Source organism: Homo sapiens, chromosome 10 (assembly GCF_000001405.40).
Source record: "Homo sapiens chromosome 10, GRCh38.p14 Primary Assembly".
NCBI classification, from domain to species: domain Eukaryota; kingdom Metazoa; phylum Chordata; class Mammalia; order Primates; family Hominidae; genus Homo; species Homo sapiens.
The window spans coordinates 33,218,871-33,244,424 of NC_000010.11; the positions used below are offsets into that span (position 1 = coordinate 33,218,871).

The 25,554-nt window shown below is 40.1% G+C and overlaps 1 protein-coding gene across 18 annotated transcripts in view; it reads right to left on the reverse strand.

The window, feature by feature from the left end:
* NRP1 (neuropilin 1) overlaps positions 1-25,554 on the reverse strand; it is a 157,175-nt gene that overhangs the window by 41,378 nt on the left and 90,243 nt on the right. For all 18 annotated transcript variants that reach the window (NR_045259.2, XM_047425977.1, XM_006717525.3 and 15 more), the window contains 2 exons: positions 7,264-7,419; positions 2,849-2,993 (listed from right to left, as the gene is read on the reverse strand). Coding sequence is in view for 17 of the 18 variants with exons in the window: in XM_047425977.1 (XP_047281933.1) it covers positions 2,849-2,993; positions 7,264-7,419 (301 nt within the window). In the remaining variant the exon portion in view is untranslated. The remainder of the gene's footprint in view (positions 1-2,848; positions 2,994-7,263; positions 7,420-25,554) is intronic.

Consider the following 25,554-nt stretch of genomic DNA (forward strand, 5'->3'; position numbering starts at 1 on the left):
AAAGTAACCACCAAGCATTTGTTATGTTCCAGGCATACAGGACACAACAGAAAATGAGGCAAACAGGTCCCCTGCTCTCCTGGACCATCTAGTCCAGCAGGAATACTGTAGTCCTCCTTTCATTAATCTCTACTCAAGGGGACCTTTGATTTTCATTTCAAGAAAATGAAAATTATCTGCTTCTGATAATCAAGAAGAAAAACTTGAAATTACTGTCTTATTAGAGGCTCTGCTTGCTGGGGCATATGCTAGGTTCAATATATTGAGTGCCATGTACTATTTTAGTCTAACGGGTACCATTTAGTGAGCACTTAGTTTAAGCCAGGGGTGTTCCAAATTTCCTCTCATTGACTCCTCATTATAGTTGCATTAAGGTGATCCTCACAGACCAGAAAACGGAGATCAGAGTGAGTCTCAATGTCTTATCCATGGTCCGTCATGCATACACTAAGTGGACAGTCCACAGTCAAGCCTGGATATGTCTGCCTGCCTTCTGTCCATGTGACTATCGTAACGTGTTAGCCTCTCCAAAAACCTGCTTCTGGCAATTATTTGGAGACTAGAGACATTTTACTAGAGAGAAAATATTTAAAAGTATAGTGGAGACCATGATTAAGAGACTAGCACTAGGAACTGAAAGGAAGCACCTTATTTGAAAAATAGCTACTTAATTATGTATGAAAATATTAGGATATGCTATTTTAGACATCTAAGTTTACATAACTAGATCATTTAACTATTTTTAAAAATTGAACAAATTATTTACCTTCTTTGCTCACATTCCTAGCATCACCTCTCAGGGAAATCCTTGTGAAAATTAAAAAGGACAGTTTAGGTATAAAAAAAATTGTATTCAACTAAAAGGATGTGACATAAATCTCTAAGAGCCTGGAAATTCAGAATTTTGACTAACATGTTTGGAGTCTTTATGAAGTTTACCTCATTTTTTTTAAATACAATGACATGAGATAAGGTTGAAGAAATGGGCCAGAAATTTCCACCCAAACCTCAAATGGCCTTGTTTCTACAAATTTATGAATAACAGCACAAATCTGTAATGCTCTGAAAATGACCTAGAACTTTCTGTCATCTAACTGCTGATCAAAAATAAAGCCAAGGTTATATCTAACTTTTCAATGTCCTTTCTTCTTTCAAACCCTTCTCCACCCAATTCCTGCCTCTAAGGCCTTGAACTTTCTAAATCTTAGGTCCTAAAATAATAAACAAGTCTGTCTGTGGGATGGAAATAAATAAACTTTTCATTAAAAAATCAGATGTTGGTTTTTACTTTCCAAGCTGAACTCTACTATAAACAAGTATAGTTTTTCCTGTTCATTAGCTCTTCTCAAAATTGCTTGTAATTTCATGGAATATTGCCAAAGTGATTTTTTTTCCTTCCAAAGTCGGTATCATTCTCCTCTAAAAATAATTAAACTAAAGAGGATAAACAGAAAAATGGAATAAAAAATTAAATACCCCAAATACATATATAACATAATATTAAAGGTAGTTCAAAGACTTTTAGACATTGCTTGCTTTTAATTACTTTTTAGTGAGTGGGTCAACTGATTCTGTCTTTGAACTTCCAAGCTTACTATAAAGATCACATTGTACAGGTTTTTTGTTGGTGGTGGTTGTTTCAATGAAAGTTTGGCAATGTATTTACTAAAATGGAAAGGAATTCTAATATGACTGCTATATACTGCAGAATATAGCATAGTCATGCAAGAAAACAAATGGACAGGCTGGGCGCGGTGGCTCACGCCTGTAATCCCAGCACTTTGGGGAGGCTGAGGCATGTGGATCACCTGAGGTCAGGAGTTCAAGACCAGCCTGGCCAACATGGTGAAAACCTATCTCTACTAAAAATACAAAAAATTAGCCAGGTGTGGTGGTGCACTCCTGTAGTAGTACCAGCTACTCAGGAGGCTGAAGCAGGAGAATCGCTGGAACCTGGGAGGTGGAGGTTGCCATGAGCCAAAATCATGTCACTGCACTCCAACCTGGGTGACAGAGCAAGGCTCAGTCTCAAAAAAAAAAAAAAAAAAAAAAAGAAAAACAAATAAAAAGATAAAGCTGGCCAGGGGCAGTAGCTCACACCTGTAATCCCAGTACTTTGGGAGGCCGAGGTGGGAGGATAGCTTGAGTCCAGGAGTTCGAGACCAGCCCAAGCAACATAGGGGTTACAATTAGTTGTCTACACTGGTGCCCTCATGTTGTCCCACATGTATTCAAGAGGCTGAAGTAGGAGGATCACTTGAACCTGGAAGGTTGAGGGTGCAGTGAGCTATGATCATGCCACTGCACTGCAGCCTGAGTGACAGAGCAAGACCCTGTCTCAAAATAAAGAAACAAAGAAATAAATAAAACTGCTGGAGAATCTTTCATGCAACAGTTACTTATTGTAAATCTACTAAGTAGTAGTCAGTATCCAGGAAGCAGAGATGAACGGCATGATACTTGCCTTCATGGAGCTTACAGTCTAGTGGAAAAGGTACCAGTAAACAAGCACCTACCACATGCCAGGCTGTGCTACGTGCTTATATCCATTATCTATTAATAATGCATCATCACAACTAGGCTGTATGGCATAAATTATTATGACTATTTCCCAGGTGAGATAACTAAGGCTTTAAAAGGTAAGTATATTGACCAAAAAAATCTGCTAGTGAGTAGTAAGGCAGGATTTGAACTCGGATTTGTCTAAATCCAAAGTAGATGCTTTTAATTGTCAAATAAAAATGATTGCATTTACAAACTTATTTACCCTGTATTTAAAGGTTTGCATAAATCAAAACAAGACAATCTTCGACTTGGAAGATTCAGTCTTCAATCTTCCACAGCTTACCTGTTATCTTGCAACCGTATACTTCAAATCTCATAGATATGCCAGTTTCCCAAGTTGCAGGCTTGATTCGGACAAATCGAGTTATCAGTGGTTTGGGGAATACTGCAACCACAACATCTGTGGGGTTGGTGTTTCCCTGAAAGAGCTGTATGGGGAAAAAAAGTGCCTTTCTTTAGCAGAGGTTTTGGATTTAAATCCATAAATGTGTTTTCACAAATGGTTGTAAAAATTATTTACAATTTCAGTGTTGTCGATCAAGGATGAGATGGCGTTAATAACTCGCCATGTTAATTTTTTCAATTAGCAATCAGAATGATGTCTAATATAGAATACTGTCCTAATCATCGATTCAATTTTCTGAGAGGCTAGAGTCTTTAAAAGCACTATTATATGGATAATATTGATTAAAGAACGCATGCTATTATCTAAAAAGTGTGAAACTATTAACTTTACCAGAGGACCAAAATAATACTGTAGACGTGTCATGGGAACTCTCACTGTTTGACTTTCCCAAGAATCCCCAGAAGGGATGCTTTTTAAGTAAACTATAGGGCCTGGCTTTTTGAAATTCTAGGTCGTGTTTGCAGCTACAGTACTAGGTCAAATAGCGTTCTCCCCTTTGACTTCATTCCTTGATGGAAGATCTTGTCCCTCACACTAATGCGTGACTTTAATCCTTTTTTGATTATTGGTAAAATTATGTTTTAGTGGTCAAAGTCAAAACTGAGTTATAAATTATTTTTAACTAAAAATCAGTTTTTCCAGGGCTTGTGCGTCAAGATTTATTTATTTATTTATTTATTTATTTATTTATTTATTTAAGATGGAGTCTCGCTCTGTTAGCCAGGCTGGAGTGCAGTGATGCGATCTCGGCTCACTGCGGCCTCCGCCTCCCGGGTTCAAGCAATTCTCCTGCCTCAGCCTCCTGAGTAGCTAGGATTACAGGTGCCCACAGCCACACCCAGCTAATTTTTGTATTTTTGGTAGAGATGGGGTTTCACCATGTTGGTTGGCCAGGCTGGTGTTGAATTCCTTACTTCAAGTCATCCTCCTGCCTCCGTCTCCCAAAGTGCTGGGATTCTGCTTTTAGTTTTAAATTGAGTCATTTTATTCTAAGAAAGATGAGGCATGTGACTGCAAATGTAATGCATGCCAGGCATGAATGGATGTTTCCCACAAGGACTCGTGGGGGCCACTCTGCCTGGGCGGGGGGCTGCAGCAGCATTCTCCAGTAAGATCTCTGAGGACTAGAGAGTTTACCATTACAGAATACTCTGCCTCCCTTTCCTGGATTTTAATTCTGCCTTGGGTTGGGAACAGCCCGTGGGATGGTGATGTTTCTCAGTCCTGTGCCTCGTGCATTCAGCACTATGCTTCTCAGCACAGCTGGGTCAGACACCTCCTTTTAGGCTGCATAACTGGAGCATCACGGGGCTCACTCGAGGCATGCAGCTTCCTCCCCATCTTTCCAGGTGAGGACATGAAGGTCTATGGTTTCCCAAGTCCTGCTCTTCCACCTGGGAGAAAGGGCTTGTGAAAGTCGGGCTTGTGTTTTCACTTTATTGAATTTAAGTGGCCTGCACAACTAAAGGTGGTCAAATGCTTTACAGAGTTGGTTGTGGCTGGGTGTGGTGGCTCATGCCAGTAATTCCAAAACTTTAGGAGGCCAAGGCAGGAGGATTGCTTGAGGCCAGGAGTTTGAGACCAGCCTGGGCAACATAGTGAGACTCCATCTCTCCATTAAAAAAAAAAAAAAATTAGCCAGGTATGGTGGTGGTGCATGCCTGTGGTCTCAGCTACTTGGGAGATTTAGCTGGGAGGATGGCTTGAGCCCAGGAATTTAAGGCTGCAGTGAGTTATGATTGCACCACTGCACTCCAGCATGGGTGACAGAGCAAGACTTGGTCTCTATTTTTGTTTAAATAAGTCAGTTTTTAGCCTGATCTCTCTCTTGAGACGATCTGATATCCTAATTTATCCCAGCCTGTGATGGCCTTTTGATTTCTGCCCTAAATCAGCATCTCTCCCTGGAAATCAATCTGTGTGGGAGCATTTTTGTGTGACAAAGAGTAATGGGCAGCTGCCAGGGAAGGAGGGCCGCCAATGATGGTGCTCTCCTTATGGGGGCAATGAGTCCTTGTCCGAGGGAGACCAGAAGTCTGGCAGGAGAGTTGTGTGCCCTGGTGCAGGCAGAGGGGAGGTGCATTTTCCTCCCACTGAGGGAGTTTTCTGTTTGCTGAAAATCATGTTTTATACACATTCTCTCCAACATGAAGAGGGTTGCTGGAGTTGTTGGTGGTCGAAAGCTGCACTCCTGGAGCAAAGTGGGAATGAAGGTAGAGGGGAGTGGCTGAAAGCCCCTAAAGTACAGAGAAAGGTGGGGTGGGCAACAATCATGAGGCTCTAGGTGGATGTTCTGGTTTCATTAGATTCTGATTTCATTAGATTCAGCTAAAGTGCTCAGAACAGATGCCAAGCTCTCTGCCGACTCCTTCCTTATTCCTTCTGCCTCTCCCCTTGAAGCCCTTCTGTGTGCCAGGGGTTCCCAGGGCAAGCTGGGGGCACTGTCAAACACCCCTGTAATCTGTGGGTGCTCTCCGACAGCCCCCCTCTTCTGGGCCATGCAAACAACCAGTGGACAACAGTTGAAGAAAACATGTTGGTGAAATAGCCCGTATGGTTTTTTTTTCCTTAACAAAAAATGGTCATGTTGCTATTTTCTTTCATCCCTCTTATCTGCATGCATTCCAGTATAAAGATAATGAAATACCAGTTAAGTTTATCACTTAACATTATCTTAGACCTTTCACCTCATGGTTCCATTTTGTTCTTTTTTTTTTTTTTCTTCAACCTTTAAGTTTCAGGGTACCTGTGCAGGATGTATAGGTTTGTTACACAGGTAACTGTGTGCCAAGGTGGTTTACTGCACAGATCATCCCATCACCTTGGTATTAAGCCCAGCATCCATTAGCTATTTTTCCTGATGCTCTCCGTCCTCCCACATACCCCGCTACCGACAAGTCCCAGTGTGTGTTGTTCCCTGCAATGCATCCATGTGTTCTCATCATTCAGCTCCCAGTTATAAGTAAGAACATGTGTTGTTTGGTTTTCTCCTCCTGAAGTAGCGCTTATTTTAAAAAGAAATGGCCTGACAGTCTAAGGTCAGCTCTCCCGGCTCTCTCTGGGTTCTTTGGCTGGTAGGTGCCTCATTAGAGTTAGTGATTTTTTATTTCCTTGAACCTAAAGTATGTCTTCAGAAATTTATTCCCAAACAAGAATCAGTCATGAAACTTGGGGTCAAAATTTACTCACTTCATCTCCATGAGCGTTGACTAGGAAGGTTCTTGTACCCCAGACAAACTGGTTCCATGTCCTCCAGGACTAGACAATGGCCTTGAACTTGCCTGCCCATAGCATTTTCCTCCTACAGAACAGCTGTCTATCTGTAGCTGCTTCCATCTTGCCTGCCCTGTCCGAGAGTGGGGGTTTCACTGCTAATCAAAGGGAATTAATAGATTTTCTCACTTCACACCCAGGGGGCTTTTCTCAGTTCCAGATCCACAAGGAGAAAATCAAGTACGTGAATGCTCAAAAGAGAGACAGGTTAATTGGCCTCTTCCCAAGCCCATCATTGCAAGCTACCTGGATCTTTGCTCCTATCCTCATCAATTTCCTGTGTTTTGCTCAGCCTCCAGGGCAAGCTTTTAATTTCTGGGAGATGGTGAGTATGAATTCTCCGAAATCTTTTGATTAGAAAATCAGAGCAAGTGTAACTTCAAATAAACAGGCAGGCTGAGAAAAACATCTCTGTTCCAAATGAGCTAGGGCAGAGCGCCGAGGGACACGGTATGGTCTGTGCTGCCTCCTTGGTTGAAAGCAGTACGGAGGTAGTGTGTTATTTGTGTGATCTGAGGGAACACAATGAAATACCTTTGGTTCCACGCGTTCTTACAAGAAGCAGTCAAATGCACTTGTAAATTAGTTTGTGAGCCACAGTAGATAGATGAAAAGATGTTTTCTAAAACTAGCTGATTACAGACAGAAAGAATCTATGAAAGGATGAAGAAATCGAGGGGGGAAAAACAACAAAACCCCAAATTCCTAAGGTTCTAAGAGGACAGTGTTTATCCCACGCAGAATCTGTGTCCCCATGGGGGGCTTACAGCAATTCTTGAGTCTGACACTTAATTTGGCCTGTATTGACTTTTTTTGGAAACATTCACATAATTTCCTCCCGGCTTCTGGATCTGGGAACATGAGACCCCTTGGTTAGATTTAAACCTCTAATTGCACTTTTCATTTCAAATCAATTCAAAAATAAACCAGGCCAGACAGAAAGCTACCAAACAAACAAGTAAAAATTGATCATCCATTTAAAAGACCAAATTGGTTGCCACGGTGGCAGCCTAACTTACAACAGGTTTGTTTCCTTCTTTTATGGTGATCCAGTCTTCCCCGTTGGAGCTAACGTCGATCTTGTAAGTCTTGACATAATATTTCTTCTTGGTTTCTTTTGAAATGGCGCCCTGTGTCCCGACAGCCGTGACAAAGCGCAGAAGGCCCAAGTCTACCTGCAAGACAAGTACAAGCGTGGTCAGTGCACCATCCCTGCAGCACAGTAACCCAAAGCATCTTTTCCTGTGGGCTCCACGTTGTGGTTTTCATCCACCTGGGATCAACAGGGCCTCATTCCATCGGGTGTCCACAGTCCCTGACTCCTCCCTTCCATTCCTTCTTAAAAAAAGGCAAAGGCATGATCAATGTAAACCAAAAATAAAATTCTAAGTCCCCTGACCATCTAAATGGACACCTTGTCCCAGCAAGGGCATTCCAAAGCTAACCTGAAAAACTAGTTCAGGCTATGATAGGACAGTGTGAGGGTCAGACAAGCCTCATTATTATACCCTCATCTCTGTTGGAATTAATGATAGAACAGCTCTTTAAGTCTGATAAGAAACATCTACAACATATTCTCTCTGAAGCCTGCTACCTGGTCTTTACCTGTACGTTATCTTAACCCAGACATTCCTAAGTCTTTAGACAGTAACTTAACTCTTTCAACCATTGCCAATCAGAAAATCTTTGAATCCACCTATGACTTGGGAGCCCCTGTTTTCAGATGTCCCACCTTTCTGGACCAAACCAATGTACATCTTCTATGTATCTGATTGATGTCTCATGTCTCCCTGAAATATATAAAACCAAGCTGTACCCAGACCACCTTGGGTTTATGTCCTCAGGACCTCCTGAGGTTCTGTGTCACAAGCCACTGCTCACTCATATTTGTCTCAGAATAAATCTCTTCAAATATTTTATAGAGTTTGACTCTTTTTGTCCACAAAAGACAGCATGGCCCTAAGTTGGTTCCCATTGTTAGGAAGGCCAGGAAAAGACCTTTCTCACTGTTGCAACCAGGATTGCTTGATCCCTGGTGCAAAAGAGAAAACTGGATTCAATATCATACTTTCCAAACTGCACATTCATATATGTCATCTTGCAAAGACAGAATCAAGACAAACAAGATAAACTCACACAATGGATAATGGAGAGGCCTGGACTTGAATTCCTGTCTAACATAATCCCATTTCCCCTCTGTCTTTGGCATCCTACCTCCTTCCACATTAAATGCAGACTGAAACGATACTGACTTGAAAGCTCTAAGGGTGTTGTGGTTTGGGAGAGGGGCCATAGATTTATAACTTGGGATGGAGTAAAGAGGAAGAGGGTAAAGATTTCTGTTTCAGCTTTAGATTTCTTCCCTCCCCACATCTTCCTGTGGCCTCTCTCCTTGCAGCTCAGTTTGAGAGGCAGGTGGATTCCAAGTCATCAGGTGGGGGAGACTGATGTCTCTAGGAAACAACTGCTTGGGCTTGCAACCTTCTCCTGGTAAGTTTCCAGTGGAAAAACTCCTCAACACGACAGCCTTGCCTTCATCTCTCACTAGCCTGTCTCATATCCTGAGGGGTGGGGCTCTTGGAAGGCATCAGAGTAGTGATGACCAGAGGGTGACTGAAATCTCGAGGGTCTGTGTTTTCATCCCAGGGCCCTGTGATGTGAGTGGGAAGGAATGGATTTAAGCAGCAAGCACTCCATGTTCTAGTCCAGACTCTGCCATCATCTTTAGGCTTCTGGGCCCTCATTTGTAAAATGAAGGAGTGGGATTAGATAACTTGGAAGACTCTTTTCCACTCTGACCTCCTATAATTCCTTCTTTCATAATGTGTTAGATGTTTCCAGTAGAGTAGGTTTTTTTTTCTTTAACTCTCCTTATTACCAGCATTAATAACTAAGAATAATCTTGAAAGAAAACTCATTACTAGTTTGTATATAATAGTGATATTTTCAATTTATTTTAATAAATTTGATTATTCCTATAAAATTATTTGCTCCATCAATTGTATGCCCAGCTTTAAACACAAGCTTAAAAAAAAGTCCACAAATATATGGCAAATATTTTTTTAAAGGACACAGAAAATAGTTACACATTACAACTACTAGCATTGACAAGCCTGGCATAGTGGCACATGCCTGTAATCCCAACTACTCGGGAGGCTGAGGCAGTAGAATCTCCTGAACCCTGGAGGCAGACGCCGCAGTGAGCTGAGATCTCGCCACCGCACTCCAGCCTGGGTGACTGACAGAGAGAAACTCTGACTCGAAAAATAAAATAAAAATAAAATAAAACAAAACAAATAAAAAAAGCCAACCCCCTCCCAACTTTTGAATTTTGCTTTCCAGTTGCCATATTACAACTCAATTTTCAGAATATAATATTTCAATTAATTCTCCAGTGCCCATGGGCCACGAACACTTAAAGAATTTCCATTCTATGCACAGCCTGCCTCATGGAGGCATATTGTCTTTCATGAATTGCTTTTTTCCTGAAGGCGCTTGGAGTAGTTAAATCAACATGTTGTCTACATCCAGGAAAAACAGCACATAGAAGCCAATTTGAAGTTACAGAAAGCAGTAGTGGTAGATTTCATCTGGAAAGAATGGGACTATCATTCAACGCAAAATAATCTTTATTTCATTTCCCTGGTTTTAAAGATATAAACTCTAGGCTCTGTGTGCTTTCACCAGATTTAAGAGAAAAAGGAACAAGAATTTAATAGAATTTAATATTTTAGAATACTAACAATAGATTTTATAATTTTAATTTAATGAATAAGTATTTTACCAACATATTCTTATCAAGTGCCTACACTTGTTTACCAAAATTTGCATTTGTTTTTCAAAAGTGAACCATGGTACTTTGATGAATGTTTTAAACTTCCTATCTCCCTCATGTACACATTTCAAAAAGGGGAGGTGATTGAAGGTTGTCAGATTTAGCAAATAAAAGTACAAAACATCAGTTAAATTTGAATGTCAGGCAAAACCAAATTTTTTTTAGTATAAGTGTGTTCCATACAACATTTGGGCTGTAGTTACACTAACAACTGATTCATTGCTTACATAAAATTCAAATTTAAATGGATTTTCTGTATCTATGTTATCTGACAACCCTAAATCTCACTATATTCCAGACAAATAGGTGATTTTAAGTTGCTGCAGAAACTCTCTGATTTCACAATGCCGCAATCTAAAAGTTAATGGGGACTCTAAAAATGGTTGCTCTGAACAATGTTAACTGTTTTCAAATGCTCGCAGATCACTTAGTGCTTTTCTGACTGTCCATTAAAGTCATGCCCAATGCCACAGCTACTTTCAAGCTGAAGGGTCCTTAAAATCTTGAAGTCCGAGGAAGCATGAAGCAGAGCTATTTAAATAAACTCTTCCTGTCAAACTTACAGATGGCTCTTTAGTTTGGAAATGATTAAATTCCCAAGAGTGTGTATTCAGCTTGGGCTGATTTGAAACAACCCTAGAACTTCATTCCCTGGTTGTCCTTTTTCTATTTTTTAAATTTTGGTTTTTGGAGTAAGATTTAATTACTAAGTAGGAAAGAAGTTAACTGGTGATCAAACAGAAGATTCCTAGGTATTAGGAACAGCTGACATCAGAGGAAGGAGCAATTGACTGGAATTAACTAGTATCCAACACAGGAAGATACAAAGGCACCCAAAGCATATGCATGAATCACTCATTAAAAAAGAAAGATTTTTTTTTTCTCAACAGCAATGAAATGCATTGGCAACCTCCTCTTGTAATTGCATAGTTTCCTGCTGTGCTTTAAAACTCTGCAGATTCTCTTATTTACCACACAGGGATACTTGAAATTTCATTTCATTTTTCTCCCTAAGATTATTGCCAGTGGGTTTAGTAAGGATGGATGACAACCTCACAAAGTGATTAGGACTGGGGCTTGAACCACTGCAACTAAAACCGGATAGTACCCAGAACTCTAACAACATACAGCCTCTCCAGCACTTAGTGTGCAACCCTCACTGCTAAGACCAGGGAAGTTCTTTCCACGAGTCCTTTCTCTTAATGCCTTAGGGGAATTCTCAACAAGGATCTGCCCTCCACTCTCAAGTGCCTGAGAGAGTTTGAGGGGAGACAGATAAAGTCCTGCTCAATAAGCATCACTGCTCACACTGCTGGTGTCTGTGTCAGGAGACCTAGAAAGACTTCATGCCTTGGTGTTCATATCTGAAGAGTTCTGGAAGACACCACCCCCAAAATTTGCCACTTTGGCATGAAGATTATTTCGAGTTGAAGGCAATCGAGAATCAACAGATGCAAGAAGAATTCTATGCCCTCCCCTTCTCTGCCTAAAAGCAGGAGATACATTTCCTTTTGGGAAGGGGGCATAAATTCTCCCCCTCTACTCTACCACGATGAAGACAGCAACATTTATCAGTGGAGACTGAGATAAAATTTGCATAAACACATCTTACTAAAATAACTCCTATTTTCCATTAGTTTCTCATATATGTGTGTGTGTGTGTGTGTGTGTGTGTGTGTGTGTGTGTGTATGTATCTCCTAGTCACTTTCCTACAACTTATCCGCCCTAGAAGCCCAAACCCTCTTTCTTTTCTCAAGTCACTTATCCACAACTTATCACCCATTGTGAAAATGGTGTATAAGCATCTGAATCTATTTCTTTGGTTTTTCATTTCTTTTCTGTAAGGCTTCTGTGCATGTAAAATTTAAAATATTAATGCCTTTTTTCCTGTTAATCTGTCTTTTGTCAGTTTAATTTGCAGGCCCCAGTTGCAACACCTTAAAGAGTAGATGAAAAGTTTTCTCCTTCCCTTACAAGCCTTTCTCACTGGTGTAGATGTCTCTGCTAGTCATGACATTGGCTTCAATCTACCTTTTTAGCCTCCTGCTACACCTCTCTCTTTCCAACTGTATCACCCAGCCATATTATAATATTCGTTGCTTGTAACAGAATATAAGCCTTTTCTAGCTGCATGTCTTGACATACAAAGTTCCTTTGCCCTAAAACAACCTCTGTCTGTTTTTTGACTGGAAATGACTTTTTCCTCTTTTTGGCCTAGTAGGCTAAACCCCTTTATAGCTCATGTCCCCATCACTGAATTCATCATTCTGTTTTTGCTGTACCTCCTTCTAGATTGTTGTGTGGATTTCCTTTGAAAAGCATCTGTTTTTCCCTGCAGAAAAACTAATAAATGCCTACTGAAAATTCATAAAATGCAGTAAAGATGATAGAAGAAAATTAAGTCTCCCTAAGACCATCATTAGGAAATAATTACCAATCATAGCCTTGCAGAGTTTCTTTTCCCATGCAAAGTACCTGTGAATATTTGTATGCATGTTTTTACTTTGAAAAATAAGGTCATATTACCTCTATGCCTGATAACTGGCTTTATAATGGAGTTTTATAGACGTTCTAGTGCCACTATTTTTTCTACATCATAATTTTTAGTGGCTGTGAATATTTAGGTATTGGATCTTACTCAACTGGATTAACATTATCAGCGGGCATTTAATACTGCTTATCTGCTAAGTTCTATATTAAGTTGTTAGGATATAAAGAGCAGTAAGAGTGTGCAAAACGCGAACCCATGACTACCGTACAGACAGGTATCATGCAGCATCAAGGAAAAGGTAAACAATTTAACAGAGAACTGGAGGTGAGGGGAGCTGATTTCTATGCTCAAGATGGCTATGGGGGATAAACAGTAGGAGCTTGTGAGTGGACACAAAGGAAAAGACTGTTCCAGGGACGAGGAGGAGCAGGAATTGCAGAGATAAGCAGGAAAAAATAAATGAATGAAATCATGGACACTAAACAACCTATTATGTTTCCCTCACCACTATTGACATTACTTGTCAAAAAAAATGTATTGCTCTCTAAAGAATATGAGCTCTGGTTGTTTTGAAGTTGAAATGATCAGTAGTCATAAAACCCACTCCAAATCAAACACTACCCATCGTCTTGGTGGCTTAGCTTTTTGAATCATGCTAAGTTCTCATCAACGTCACATGCTAATAGGCAAGACTGGTGACCCAAGACAAGCAGCTGAAAAGACAAAGACACAACCCAGAGTACTTCTACACAATGCCACCCCTCTATGTTTTGGAGGGTTCATCGTCCTAAACAATACTTCCTTTCTTTCCATAAAAATTCAGACACACAATAACCATAATTAAGTAACCTGCTTTCCCTCAACCCAATCAGCTCTGCTCTAATCACCATTTTCTTATTTTGAAAGAATATCATTATTTCACAGCTGCTTTATTTTTAATTAGAAGATGGATGTGATTTCACATCTGAGTTGGATATACTTCTGTTTAACATTAAGGGTGATGGTGAGGGGGTGTGATGATGGCGGTGGGCAGGGATGGAATGGAACATCAAATGCATTCACTGAAATTGTTGAACATTTCCCTCTGTGTGTGTGACAAACATAAACATCTGGTATTTATCGATGGCATGTAGGCTATTTTACAGAACTTTATCAAACTCCTTTTGAGTTCTAGTGGCCGCTTTCTTTTTCTTTTCCTTTTTTTTTTTTTTTTTTTTTTTGAGACAGAGTCTCAGTCTGTCCCCTGGCTAGAGTGCAATGGCGAGATCTCAGCTAACTGCAACCTCCACCTCCCAGGTTCAAGCAATTCTCCTGCCTCAGCCTTCAGAGTAGTTGGGATTGTAGGCCCCCGCTCTCACGCCCAGCTAATTTTTGTATTTTTTTTTTAGTAGAGATGGGGTTTCACCATGTTGGCCAGGCTGGTCTTGAACTCCTGACCTCAAGTGATCTGCCCGCCTTGGCCTCCCAAAATGCTGGGATTACAGGCATGAGCCACCGTGCCCAGCTGGTGACCACTTTCTAAGTTATAATACATAGCGCCGTTGGCACTATAATGATTAGAAATGTGACCCAACACAATACCCTGTTTCCAATATGGATATGAAATTCTAACACTGGTGGTGGAAAGTCTACCCACAACTTACTTTCACACTGTGCTCCACTCACAATGAGAAGATCTTGTTAGCAGATACAGAAGAGGAAACCCCAAGCCTTTCCTTCTGGGTGGGGAAAATTGTGTGAGTAGAGGAAAACAGTTTTCCTCACCACTTCTAGGGGTGAAGGGGCGATGTTTGCAGTTCCTGGGTGGCGAACTCCCACCTCCCCACGGCACTGGGTTCTACCATGCTCCCAACTTACTCTTTGTTGTAAGATATCTACAGGAACCATCCACATGCACCATATGGCCATGGTATTGTCTTAGTAATGACAGGAAACACATTCCCCAGACAAAGAGAAGCAAGGAGAAGCACACATTTTACCAGGAATCACTTGAGGACAAAGCAGCATGTGTAGTAAATCATGTAGCAAATCTTTGCAAACTGCTGGTTAAACACCAGCACGCAGCCTTCCAGCCATGAAATGAATATCACTGCTTTCTATAATAATACATAACCAACCAATATTGGTAATGTCATAACGTGGAAAGCCTCATTTCTAAAATGAAAATCTGTCTTACTCAATAAATTACTGCCCATTGAGCTAGCATTGGCAAGGGAGCGTTTACCAGCTTTTAACACTCCCAAGGCAGGTCAATACAATGGCCTGAAAAAATAGAGGACAAAGAGCTGAGGTCTGATTAAAAACAGGAAAATATTTTTTGAGGGGGAGACTGTCGGATTTTCTTTGGGGCATCTCTGATGACTCAAAGAGCTGTTTAATTCATCACTTGACACTACAAGCTAAAGAAAATATTTTTAAGCAATTGTCTCATTTCCTTAGATAAAACACATGTTTTTTACAGAGCCTGGGCCTGTGAACATCAATGCTATTCTAGGCTCTGTGGGCTTAACTCACAGTACCTGACCATTGTGCTCATTAACTTAGGATCCTGGACTTCTTACTGTTATGAATCTGAATGCAGTCGCTTTAGAGTTAGTGACATAGCTCCCTATCTCTTTCTGTGTTGTGTCCCTATGGTGGTATTACCTAGAAAAAATGCTGATGGCTAAGGCTAAAATTACCATTAATAACCGGAAATTCATAGTGCAACCTCTACGTGTTAGGCATTTTATGAAGGGTTAAATTTATGTACAGTGTCTCTTTCAATTCTCACAACAATCATACAAGGGACATTTTATGGACAAAGAAACAGAGGAACAAAGTGATATGTACCTTTCTCAGAGTCACATAACTTACCAGTGTTTGACCCAGGACTTATACCCCAGAGAAGACTGGTGGCCCGTGTATGAGCTGCTACACCTATGCTATTCCCCAATTCATATTTTATAACCATAATGATTAGAAAGATAGTTTATAATTTCTCAGTAATAATAATTAAATCCAATAGCTTTTCTTTTTGGAGATTCATTATTTTATATAATTATAAGGAATATGAAATGATTTCTGATTGTGTTGACTATTAGTTTAAAGTTAGCACTGGCCACTGAAAAACAAAACTTTGCAAATAATTTATTCATGCTGTCGAAAAACAAAATGGTAGCAACGAAACATTTTGAGCAAAGGATAACAATTGAACACTTTAAAATTAGGGTAAAGAATAAAAATACCCAAGTAGAAGAACAGCGCAAGGCAGGAAAAATCTCACGAATTTTCTTTTAGTCTTAATTGCCTGAATTAATGCCTTTTTCCATAGTTAAATTAAAGGAGAGCATTTTCCTGGGTGGAAACAAATAAAACCTTTGCTCATAGTAAAACAGTCCCAAGTGAATGAACAGATGAATTTTCCTACCAGAAGACTTGATCCAGCCAGTTAGAATAACATGAGATAAGGCTGCAACAGCACAGGGGCAGTGGAAGGGCTGGCTTCCCTGACTGCCACTGCAGTCACAGCAAAAGAACAACAAGAAAATGAGTAAGAAAAATGAAGGCCCCACACAAGGGCTGACCTCCGTCTTTTTTGGCAGATGAAAGGAGATAGTGCTTACATGGGCTCTGTCACATCTGGATTTATAACACATTCTCCCACTCTCATGTGAATTTTTCTTTTTGCATAAATCAGGAGCAACTAATTAAAAAAGAAATATTTAATTCTGACATGTTCTTTGAACTGGAGTCCCATCTGGTTCTGTTTGAATAGTAAAATCTGCTGTAGTTGTTAAAACTGGCAAGTAGCATTGTCCAAAAGAAACAAAAGGGACTCGATGCAGCAGGTTAACACTCCAGCATTTCAGCTAGAGACTTTTCCAGAATCCAGCTACCCAAATCACTCCAATCTGGAAACCATAAAGATCAAATGTGAAGGTGAAGAATGCCATTTTCAGGTGGAGTCACTACCATTGCTCTGCATTTTCTTAGTGTGATGGAAACAGCATCAGGCTCTGAAAGGCCTTTGTTTGAGAGCAACGCACGGAACTGTGGCAAGCCACCAGAAAACGCTCAGCTTATTTTATGAAACACATTTAAGACAAATATGAGAAGACAGTCTTCATGCATTGGACGCAAAACCTGAGGGCTTTTTTCCTTTTCCATATTATCTAGAGCAGATACAATTGTATTCACCAAAACCAGACAAATATTCCATTTACATTCCTCTCTTACTTGATAAACCCGTAAAAATCTGGACACCAGGACACACTACATTCTGATAACAAAGAGGGAGAAAATGAAATGGTGCTGGGGTTTCTATACACTCTGAAATACAAGTAATCAACATCTAATGCAATTTGAAACTCTTATGTAGAGTCAAAGAGAATGGCTGATTACATCTCTATGCTTTAGAAAAGATTGTTTTACATTTTTAAGACATACGCCGACCTGTGAAATCTTTTCTCCTTTAAAATATTTTCCTTCAATTGCATGTTAACTTGCAGATGAATACCTTGGAAACCTTTAACAGCTTGGTCAAAAAGATGACATTTTAATGTCCCCTCCTCCCCTTCCTGCAAAGAGACTTAGGAGTTCTTTCCAGGCAGTAAAAGATTCAGGGACTTAATACTTTTAATTAACATTTTTTGAATGCTTATTTGTAAGTTACATTTAATTTAAAACCTGAGCCTAGTCCTTTGATTTGGAAAGAGGACACGCTGTCAGAACAGACCAAATGTAATCCCTAGGAATTTGGCTAAGATTTTAACTTAAAAACTGTCTGATAGAAATTGCCTAACTGAAATTTCTTAACAGAGAAAAAATAAGTATGCTACAGTTTTAAAACAATGGTAATCAGTCTCAAATATGTATACATGGGATGAAAATCTTCCGGTCAAGAACCTCATAGGAGAATCAGCGCATGTGCTCTTGCTAGATGGGTTTACTTAATAAAGAGTTAGCAAGCACGTACTACATAGAGGGCATGGGTGGGTATTGTGCTCTTCTAATATAACTCTTGATTCCATCTGATTGTTTATGTGTAATATCCATGAAAGCTAGGAAAGTATTCGTCTAGTAGAAGACCGAGAGGGTAGGAATTGCATGGGTTAGGTAGGCAAGAGAAACGTTTGGGTTCAGTGCTGCTGATCTGGTTGACTGCAAGGGTACAGCTCTAGATACCCTGTAAGATTAAATAGAGTGTGTATACAGGTCACCCGTTCCTAATATTTGTCAGCCCTAAAACAAAGAGGGTAACAGTAATAGAAGAATGAGTTAACGGCTGGTTTGGATTTCAGCCACTTTAAGACATGGTAGCAGAATTGGTGATCTCTGCACATAATTCAGTAGGACTGTATTGTGTTGATAAAGTATTGCTGACGATTATTGTTTTTGTTACTATTAAAAACTTCTCTGGGGCAACCATTATGTGTCAGGTATTGTACTAAGTGCTAACTTCCTGTACCTCATCTTCCATTTTCTTAACTGTCCCGCAGACAGGTTTTATAGATAATGAAGCTGAGACGTAGCGCAATTAAGACCTTTTTTTTCTTCTTTTTTTTTCACACTCCTGGTCTTTCTGAGCAATTATTACCTCTGCTTGGAGCCTAGCAACTGATAAACTATGGAGCCCAGAGTGTCTGCTCACACAGCTGCATCCCAAAGCCCAATCATGGAGCTTCACACATCGTAGCCACTCAAACTAAAAGTGTGAAATTACACGAAACTGAAGAATGCCAAGTATCCAGATAAAAGCATTTCGTCCATTAAATCCAACACACATTTACTGTATGCCAGGATCTGGAAGCACACAAGCCTATGTGGAGGTAATGATGTTATGAGACTGAAAGTAAAAAGTGTCAGCCTAGTGATAAGTGGGGCATTATGGGATTCAGAAGAAGGGAAAATTACTTCTGGAAGGGTCTAGAAAGGGCTTGATGGAAAACAGGTCATTTGAACCATTCAAAGTGGACCTCATAGGACAGGGGGTTGGACTTTGGCTGGGGAAGCAGAAGCGGCCAGCTTTGATGAACTAACGGCAGAAGAAACACACATGCGCGCGCACACACACACACACACACACACACACACAAATCCCACCCAATTGCTTACATTTGAAAATATTTGCTATGATGAATATTTTCCTTCTTCTTTTTTTTTTTTTTTTTTTTTGAGATGGAGTCTGGCTCTGTTGCCCAGGCTGGAGTGCAACGGTGGATCTCAGCTCACTGCAACCTCCACCTCTTGAGTTCAAGTGATTATAGTCGCTGGGACTACAGGGGTGTGTCACCATGCCCAGCTAATTTTTGTATTTTTAATGGAGATGGGGTTGTGTCCTGTTGGCCAGGCAGTTCTCCTGACCTCAAGTGATCTGCCCACCTTGGCCTCCCCGCTGGGATTACAAGTGTGAGCCACCAGGCCCGGCCCGATGAATATTTTCCTTCTATCTGGTATCTCATGGCAAAATTCCTTCGGAGAGCAAAGATAAGTGTCCTCTCCCACTGCAAACACACACACTCACACATACACAAATGCACACAAACACTTTTGTATGGGCCTTTATGTAGTCCAGGAGTCTAGGCTGTGAAGTGTTTGGCTAGTGACAGAAGGACAATGAAATCTTCCTTGTAGGTAAACTTGAAGTTCATGATCATGCACCACACTGCTGAGGTAATTCTGCTAAAATGTGTGGCTTCACTGCCTCTGGGAGTCCAAGCATTCCTGGGAATGAGACAAAACCTCAACCTGCATGAGTCAGCGAGACTTCTCTCTTGAGTCTAGCAGCACACGCTGCAGCTCCTATCCTCTGTGGATGTCTACATTTAAAATAAAACCTGTCAATGAAATGGCACAGAAACTGTGGATGCTTTCTTTAAAGATTCACGCTTCTGTTGAAATCACACTGTTCTCGCCTCAAACATTTAAGGAGAAGTTCATGAGTTCAGAGCATGATCTTCTAATGATGAGCAGTTGTGTTTCTAATATCCAGTCCAGTGTGGAGAGAACTTCATGGGTGGCTATTATTCATTCATAACACAAATAAGTGCTAGGTGCTTGGGTGAAAGGGAGTGAAGGTGATAAGATTCCTGCCCTCTAGACAGTGAGGGAAAGAGTCAAGTAAATAGTAAATCACAATACAGAGTGAACAGATTGCATTAAAATGAATCAATGCATTCTGGTACAACAGAGAGAAAACTGGGGTGATGCAGGCAGCATATGGTGGAAAAAAGCACAGACCCCAGAAGTAGCTTTGTAGCTTTGACCTGCAGGAGTGACCTGGATAATGTTAAGCAAGTTACTTAGTCCATTCAAGTCTTAGTTTCCTCTACTCTCAAACAGAAATGCCAATGCTTACCTCATTTAGTCATTCTGCATGGCTACTATGAAGATCACGATGATGCATATGTACACATATTAACCATGAGAATGTGACCTAATATTTTTTTACTTAGTCTTTTGGGTAATTGGAGTGGGTGCCTCTGTGTGTGTGTGTGTGTGTGTGTGTGTATGTGTGCGCATAGTTTTGCCAGTAGTACCTAGATTATAATTCCTTTGAAGGAGAGAGAGAGTCTCCTTCACTTTAGGCCAGGCACGGTGGCTCATGCCTATAATCCCAGCACTTTGGGAGGCTGAAACAGGTGGATCACTTGAGCTCAGGAGTTCAAGATCAGCCTGGGCAACCTGGTGAGACCCTGTCTCTACAAAATATAAGAAAATTAGCCAGGTGTAGTGGCATGCTCCTGTAGTCCAGCTACTTGGGAGGCTGAGGAGAGGATCACTTGAGCCCAGGAGGTCGATGCTGCAGTGAGCTGCAATCGTGCCACTGCACTCCAGCCTGGGCAACAGAGGAAGACCCTGTCTCAAAAAAAAAAAATGGGGGTCTTCTTCACTTCAGATTCACCTATTTTCACATATAGTGCCTAATTCTTAACAGATGCTCAATAAATGTTTGTTGAATTTAAATTCGATGTTATGTAAGTCTGGCATTGCCGGCAAGATCTGAAACTCCTTTCCTCCAAACTGCCTGTCATTAAAGTCAATGTTAAGGTGTTTGAGCAACTGACTTATACCCTTAAGCTAGGAATGTGACTACTCTTATCTTAGCATTTCTAACTGCAAATATTACAATAAATCATAAACTTTCTAGTCCTTTGAAAAGTTCACCACTTAAAACTAGAGTCTGCTAACTGATGAATTTCACTGGCTAGGTCCACACTGTGTGAAGTATTCCTTTTTATTTATTTCTCAAATGACCTCTCCCTAACTTAATAGTGGTTCTCTTCCTGGAGTTACCCCCAAAGGCATCAGAGATTAAATACATTTTTCGCTATATCTATTATGCTCTCAAATACCTCACTCAAACCTCGTCTCAACCTTCTTATTTTAGAGCTAAGGTTATTTGCAAGCATGACGTCCACAGGATGTTTATGTATCAGATGTTTACCTACCTGGTATCTCAGACTTCTCCCATACCCTTCCTGTATTTTTGAAAATAGAACAACATCAGAATTTGACTGCATCACTAGAGTGACCGCATCAAAATGGTTTTACCAAATTAACATATGATCTTTTATAAGTTGTTGGAATTGGAGCTTTCTGTGGATAGGAAATGAATATAGACTTCAGGCCTTTTGCAATCTGTGCGTTTCTTTGTCTCATGGTCTCTGAGAAGCAGCCTCACAAAAAAAGCCTCATGGAAGAAGTCTTGGAGGTGGCTGTGCAGTGAGGCAAGGATGTCTGACACCTTTCCAAGGTGAAGTTATTCACACACACACAGACACACACACACCTCTCCAGGTTTTCAGCAGTTTAAAGAAATTTTCATGCCTAAAAGACTAGGAAAGTATTAAATAGCATGTACAGGTAAGGTGTATTTTTCTTTTAAAAGCTGTTATTCTATGCTACCCATAAAGTTTTATCTGCACGATTGGGTGATTTCTAAGTGGCTCAAGATAAACACACACTTTTACTCAAACAGCATCTGTCTATTCCAGCACAAACAAATGCGTTGCTGATTATTGGTTTTGCAGTTAATCATGGCTTTAATTTGTCTACCTTCCCCTTTAAGCTTGGTTTCAAAAACAAACACAAGGATGAATTTCTGGAAACTAAAGACTTGCAGATGAGGGTGATGGTCTAAATCAGTCTCTTGGCCTATAAAGTTTGACAGCATCTTTTTACACCAATTTTCCATGTATTTCCCAGTGATCTAGGTGGGCCTCTCCTGGTAATGAGAGTTTCCTGTGCTGATGGAGAACTTGGAAGTGCAGGTGTCCAAAAAACTCTCCTTGGCATTAAAAATCCTGCAAGGAGCTGATGGGATTACTGAGATTAAAGTCGGCTGCCAGCCTAAGGTTATAACGAATGCTACCCTGGAGACAAGAACGAAGAGAAAGAACAGGCTGCCTAGGTACAGCTGGTTGTCAGAAATTGTGGGTAAACAGTTAGTCTCTGAAGGAATGCCAATCATTCCTGAGAACAGATGAAGTGAACTTCTCAATTTAATATTTGGTCAACTGCATTTCCCTGTTGGAAGCTTATCATTCAGCCAGGAGCTGTATATGCTGATTTGTTTTTGAAGCTCACATTAAGGGGATGGGGAAAGCCTTGCAAAAATGAATTTTCAAAGAATGACTCTCCAAGAAAATCTTGTGTAATTAGAATTCACAGCAGATGTTTGGAACTGAGCAAAGGCCAGCCTAGGGCAGGAGAAAGGCAGTCAAAATAGAAACGCCATGTGTGGAGGTAGAAAATGAAAATGAGGAAGGAAAAAATGTTACCCAGTTATCTGTGGTTTCTGTGCTCCTCTTGGGAGAAAGGGGCAAGGCATAGCATTATTCCGTGCTCTGAAGACATGTGCTCCCTTTGCTATCCAAATGCAGTCAGTGGACAGAACTCAAATTCTTTTCATGTTCCAGGAAAAAAAAATCTATCGATACTAATCTCATGCATTTCAGCCAGGGTCACCCAATGGAAAAAATGCATCTGTACAACAACTTTAAACCATAGGAGGACAAACACAGATGTCACACTAACTACATCGTGTTATTCCTCCCTAGCACTGCCTGAAGTCCTTAACATAGTGGCAGCTGTGGCTCATCTATTCACTGGAACCGTTCTTAAAACACGGTTGGATACCTCTATTTCAACCACACACTTGGAGGTGACAAGAGGTGAAATGCCTTTTTGGTGAACAGGACTGTGCTGTTGTATGTGTGTGGTGGTGGTGGTGGTGGTGTGTGTGGGGTGCATCTTTGACAGAAAAAATAGGGCTAAGGCACATGTTTGGAAAGGCTAAAAAAAAAAAAGACATTCCTTTCATACAATCTTAGAGGTTTTCAGAGCAATGGAAATCCTCTCACGTTGCCATTATAGTTTTAGATGCAAAGTTAAGGATTAAAACATATCACTTTGAATGATTTTAATACATTCCAGTATTGAAAAAGAAATGAATTGATTCTTAATCTGTTTGAATTATTTTTGATACAAAGATTTTAATTCAGATGAATTTTATATGAGAAACATAAATATTCGAAATCTAGACACTTTAAAGAAAGATAACTAGATAAATAGATGTTTGTATTAAACCCTTCTGGAAGAACAGCAACATTCTTCCACTAAGGAAACTGGACTACTGTATTACAGAAGTTGATAGTCGGAGCTGAATTTCAGCATATAGAGGTTGAATCCCAAATCACCTCTTCCTGCCTCCTTTTACTCCCCCCAGAAGACACAGGGCTGTCCAGATGAAGGTCATGTAAGATGCTCAATAAATGAATTCACCTATTTACAAGTGGTTGATTTTAGAGGAAATATCATGTTAAATGAACAAAAGTATTGTCTGATTTTTCTTTACGTGGTAAATGATTGTTAAATAAATGAATTCTTGCCATTTTATATTGGAGCTTTCCAAATAAATAACAGCATCCTTATAAATATATACAATATTTAGAAACTACATTAAAACTAAAGAAGTAATATAATGTACGTGCTATAAAATGTTGCTGATTGAGACTGGCAATGATTAGTTTTGATTTTTAAAGGTATGTTTAAATAACCTGGCCAGTAAAATTCTGCATGTTACACCCCATTTTTTAAGGTGGAAAACTTCAAAAAATTCTTTTCTCTTCTCCCCCTAAACTCTGTGTACCTCCAGAAATATCAAAAAATTTTTCTTCAGTATTTCACATTTCATATGATTTTCTAACTTCTTTTCATTATCATGAGTGTTTCCCACTGGAAATGTGTATTTTATTTCCAGATCCTCAAACTTAAGGCTCTGTGAAATTTCTTGCACCTGTAGCCATTTGCCTTTGGGTCTACCTGGGTCTTGGTCTTTTATTCTGAGATGGGATCTACCTGCATCAGCTTTAGCCCTAGGTAAACACACCAAGGCTAGACAGATAAGACAAGTATAATGAGTTTCTTCATACAGCTGGATCCCTGGTGCTGCCTTTTCTTTTCTTCTTTCTGGGTTAGTATTATGGCCTACAAACTACTCAGAATGGAACATGGTATTTGTCTTCTTAAGGAAGGAAGAAAATAGCAGATTTTGGCAAGACTTTAAGGTGTGAACAGTCTGTAATGGTGGGTAAGCCCATGCCTTACAGATATTTCCTTCAAAGACTGGAGGGACATGAAAGATGAACCGTTTGGGCTTCATCTTATCTCCCCCTGTGGGCTGCACTTTCTTACAAGATAGCACAAAAGCACCAAGGAAAAAGGCCCCGCGAGTGAAGTTTCTATGTGAAATCCCCAGAGAAGCTTCCCGATGAAGCCAACCTGAACGATTATTTGATCTAAGAAAAAAAATCTTGTTAATTAAAAAATTTGCTATGTGCTGCCTCACATAATTATCATAGTGTTTAAGACAAATTCCAGCCATACTCCATATATTTATATGTTCATCTTAGGCAAGCTCAGGGCACTAGCTGATTGAGTAAATTTATTTTTAATAGAATCACAGAATTTTAAATGCTTGAAACAACCCAAGCACCTGTCTGGTCCGATCACCCATCCCCTGGAGAATTTCACTGATAGCCTTCTCAGGCTAGCTAAAAGAATAAAGGAGCTTATTTATTTATTTTTCTAGATCCAAAATATGTAGTTAGAAGTTTAAAGCATTGGAATTGTAGGAAGAATAAAACTTTGGTAGAATTGAGACATCTCATTCTCCTGAAAGAAGGCAATTAGAATAATGCCATACATAAGTGCATTTTTCACCCCTTGGGGTAAACAGAGCTGGGAAAAAAGTGCCCAAGTCACATGCACAAGTGCATATGTCATCATCCTCAATCCTAACATGTGCAATTAGTCTCAAACACTTACTCTGTTCAATAGTTGGAAATATAAAAGCATAATGTATTTTATTACTATTGGGATTTATAGAGCATTTTAAAATTTAATCTACTTTCCTCTCTTTATTTGAATCCAGAATTGAATGAGATTAGATGGCTAAGGGAGGGAGGGAGGGAAGGAGAAGGAGAGTGGAGAAGGAGGGTAGAGGTTTGTGTGTGTGTGTGTGTGTGTGTGTGTGTGTGCATGCATGCTTGCGTCTGCCTATGTTTCAGATCAGCATCCAAAATTGCTATTCTGACGTGGATCAAAATTGCCATTTTGATGTGGTGCTTTCAAATGGTGCATAAAATGAGAACTATACAAGGGTACAAAATCCTCATCCACACCAGGGCTTTGGAATTTACAGGGTTCAGCTCTCTCTCACCTTTGGAGAAGGTGGCTGTGGATGTGCTAGAGGAGTTTTAAAGTGTGGGTTCTGCCAGTTCTGAAGAACACATATTTTTTTGCTCTGGTGCTTTCAAATTACGATATGAAAGTATTTAAAGCTTAGGAGTTGGTGTGTTACCTCACACGCGACATAAATGTAGCCATTGCTCCTAAATGTGAACATTAATGCACTCTGTAAAAGGTGCAATTATTACCGCTGGGACAGAAATCAACAAACTCCACCAAAGGAATTTCTTAAAACTGCTATCATAAAA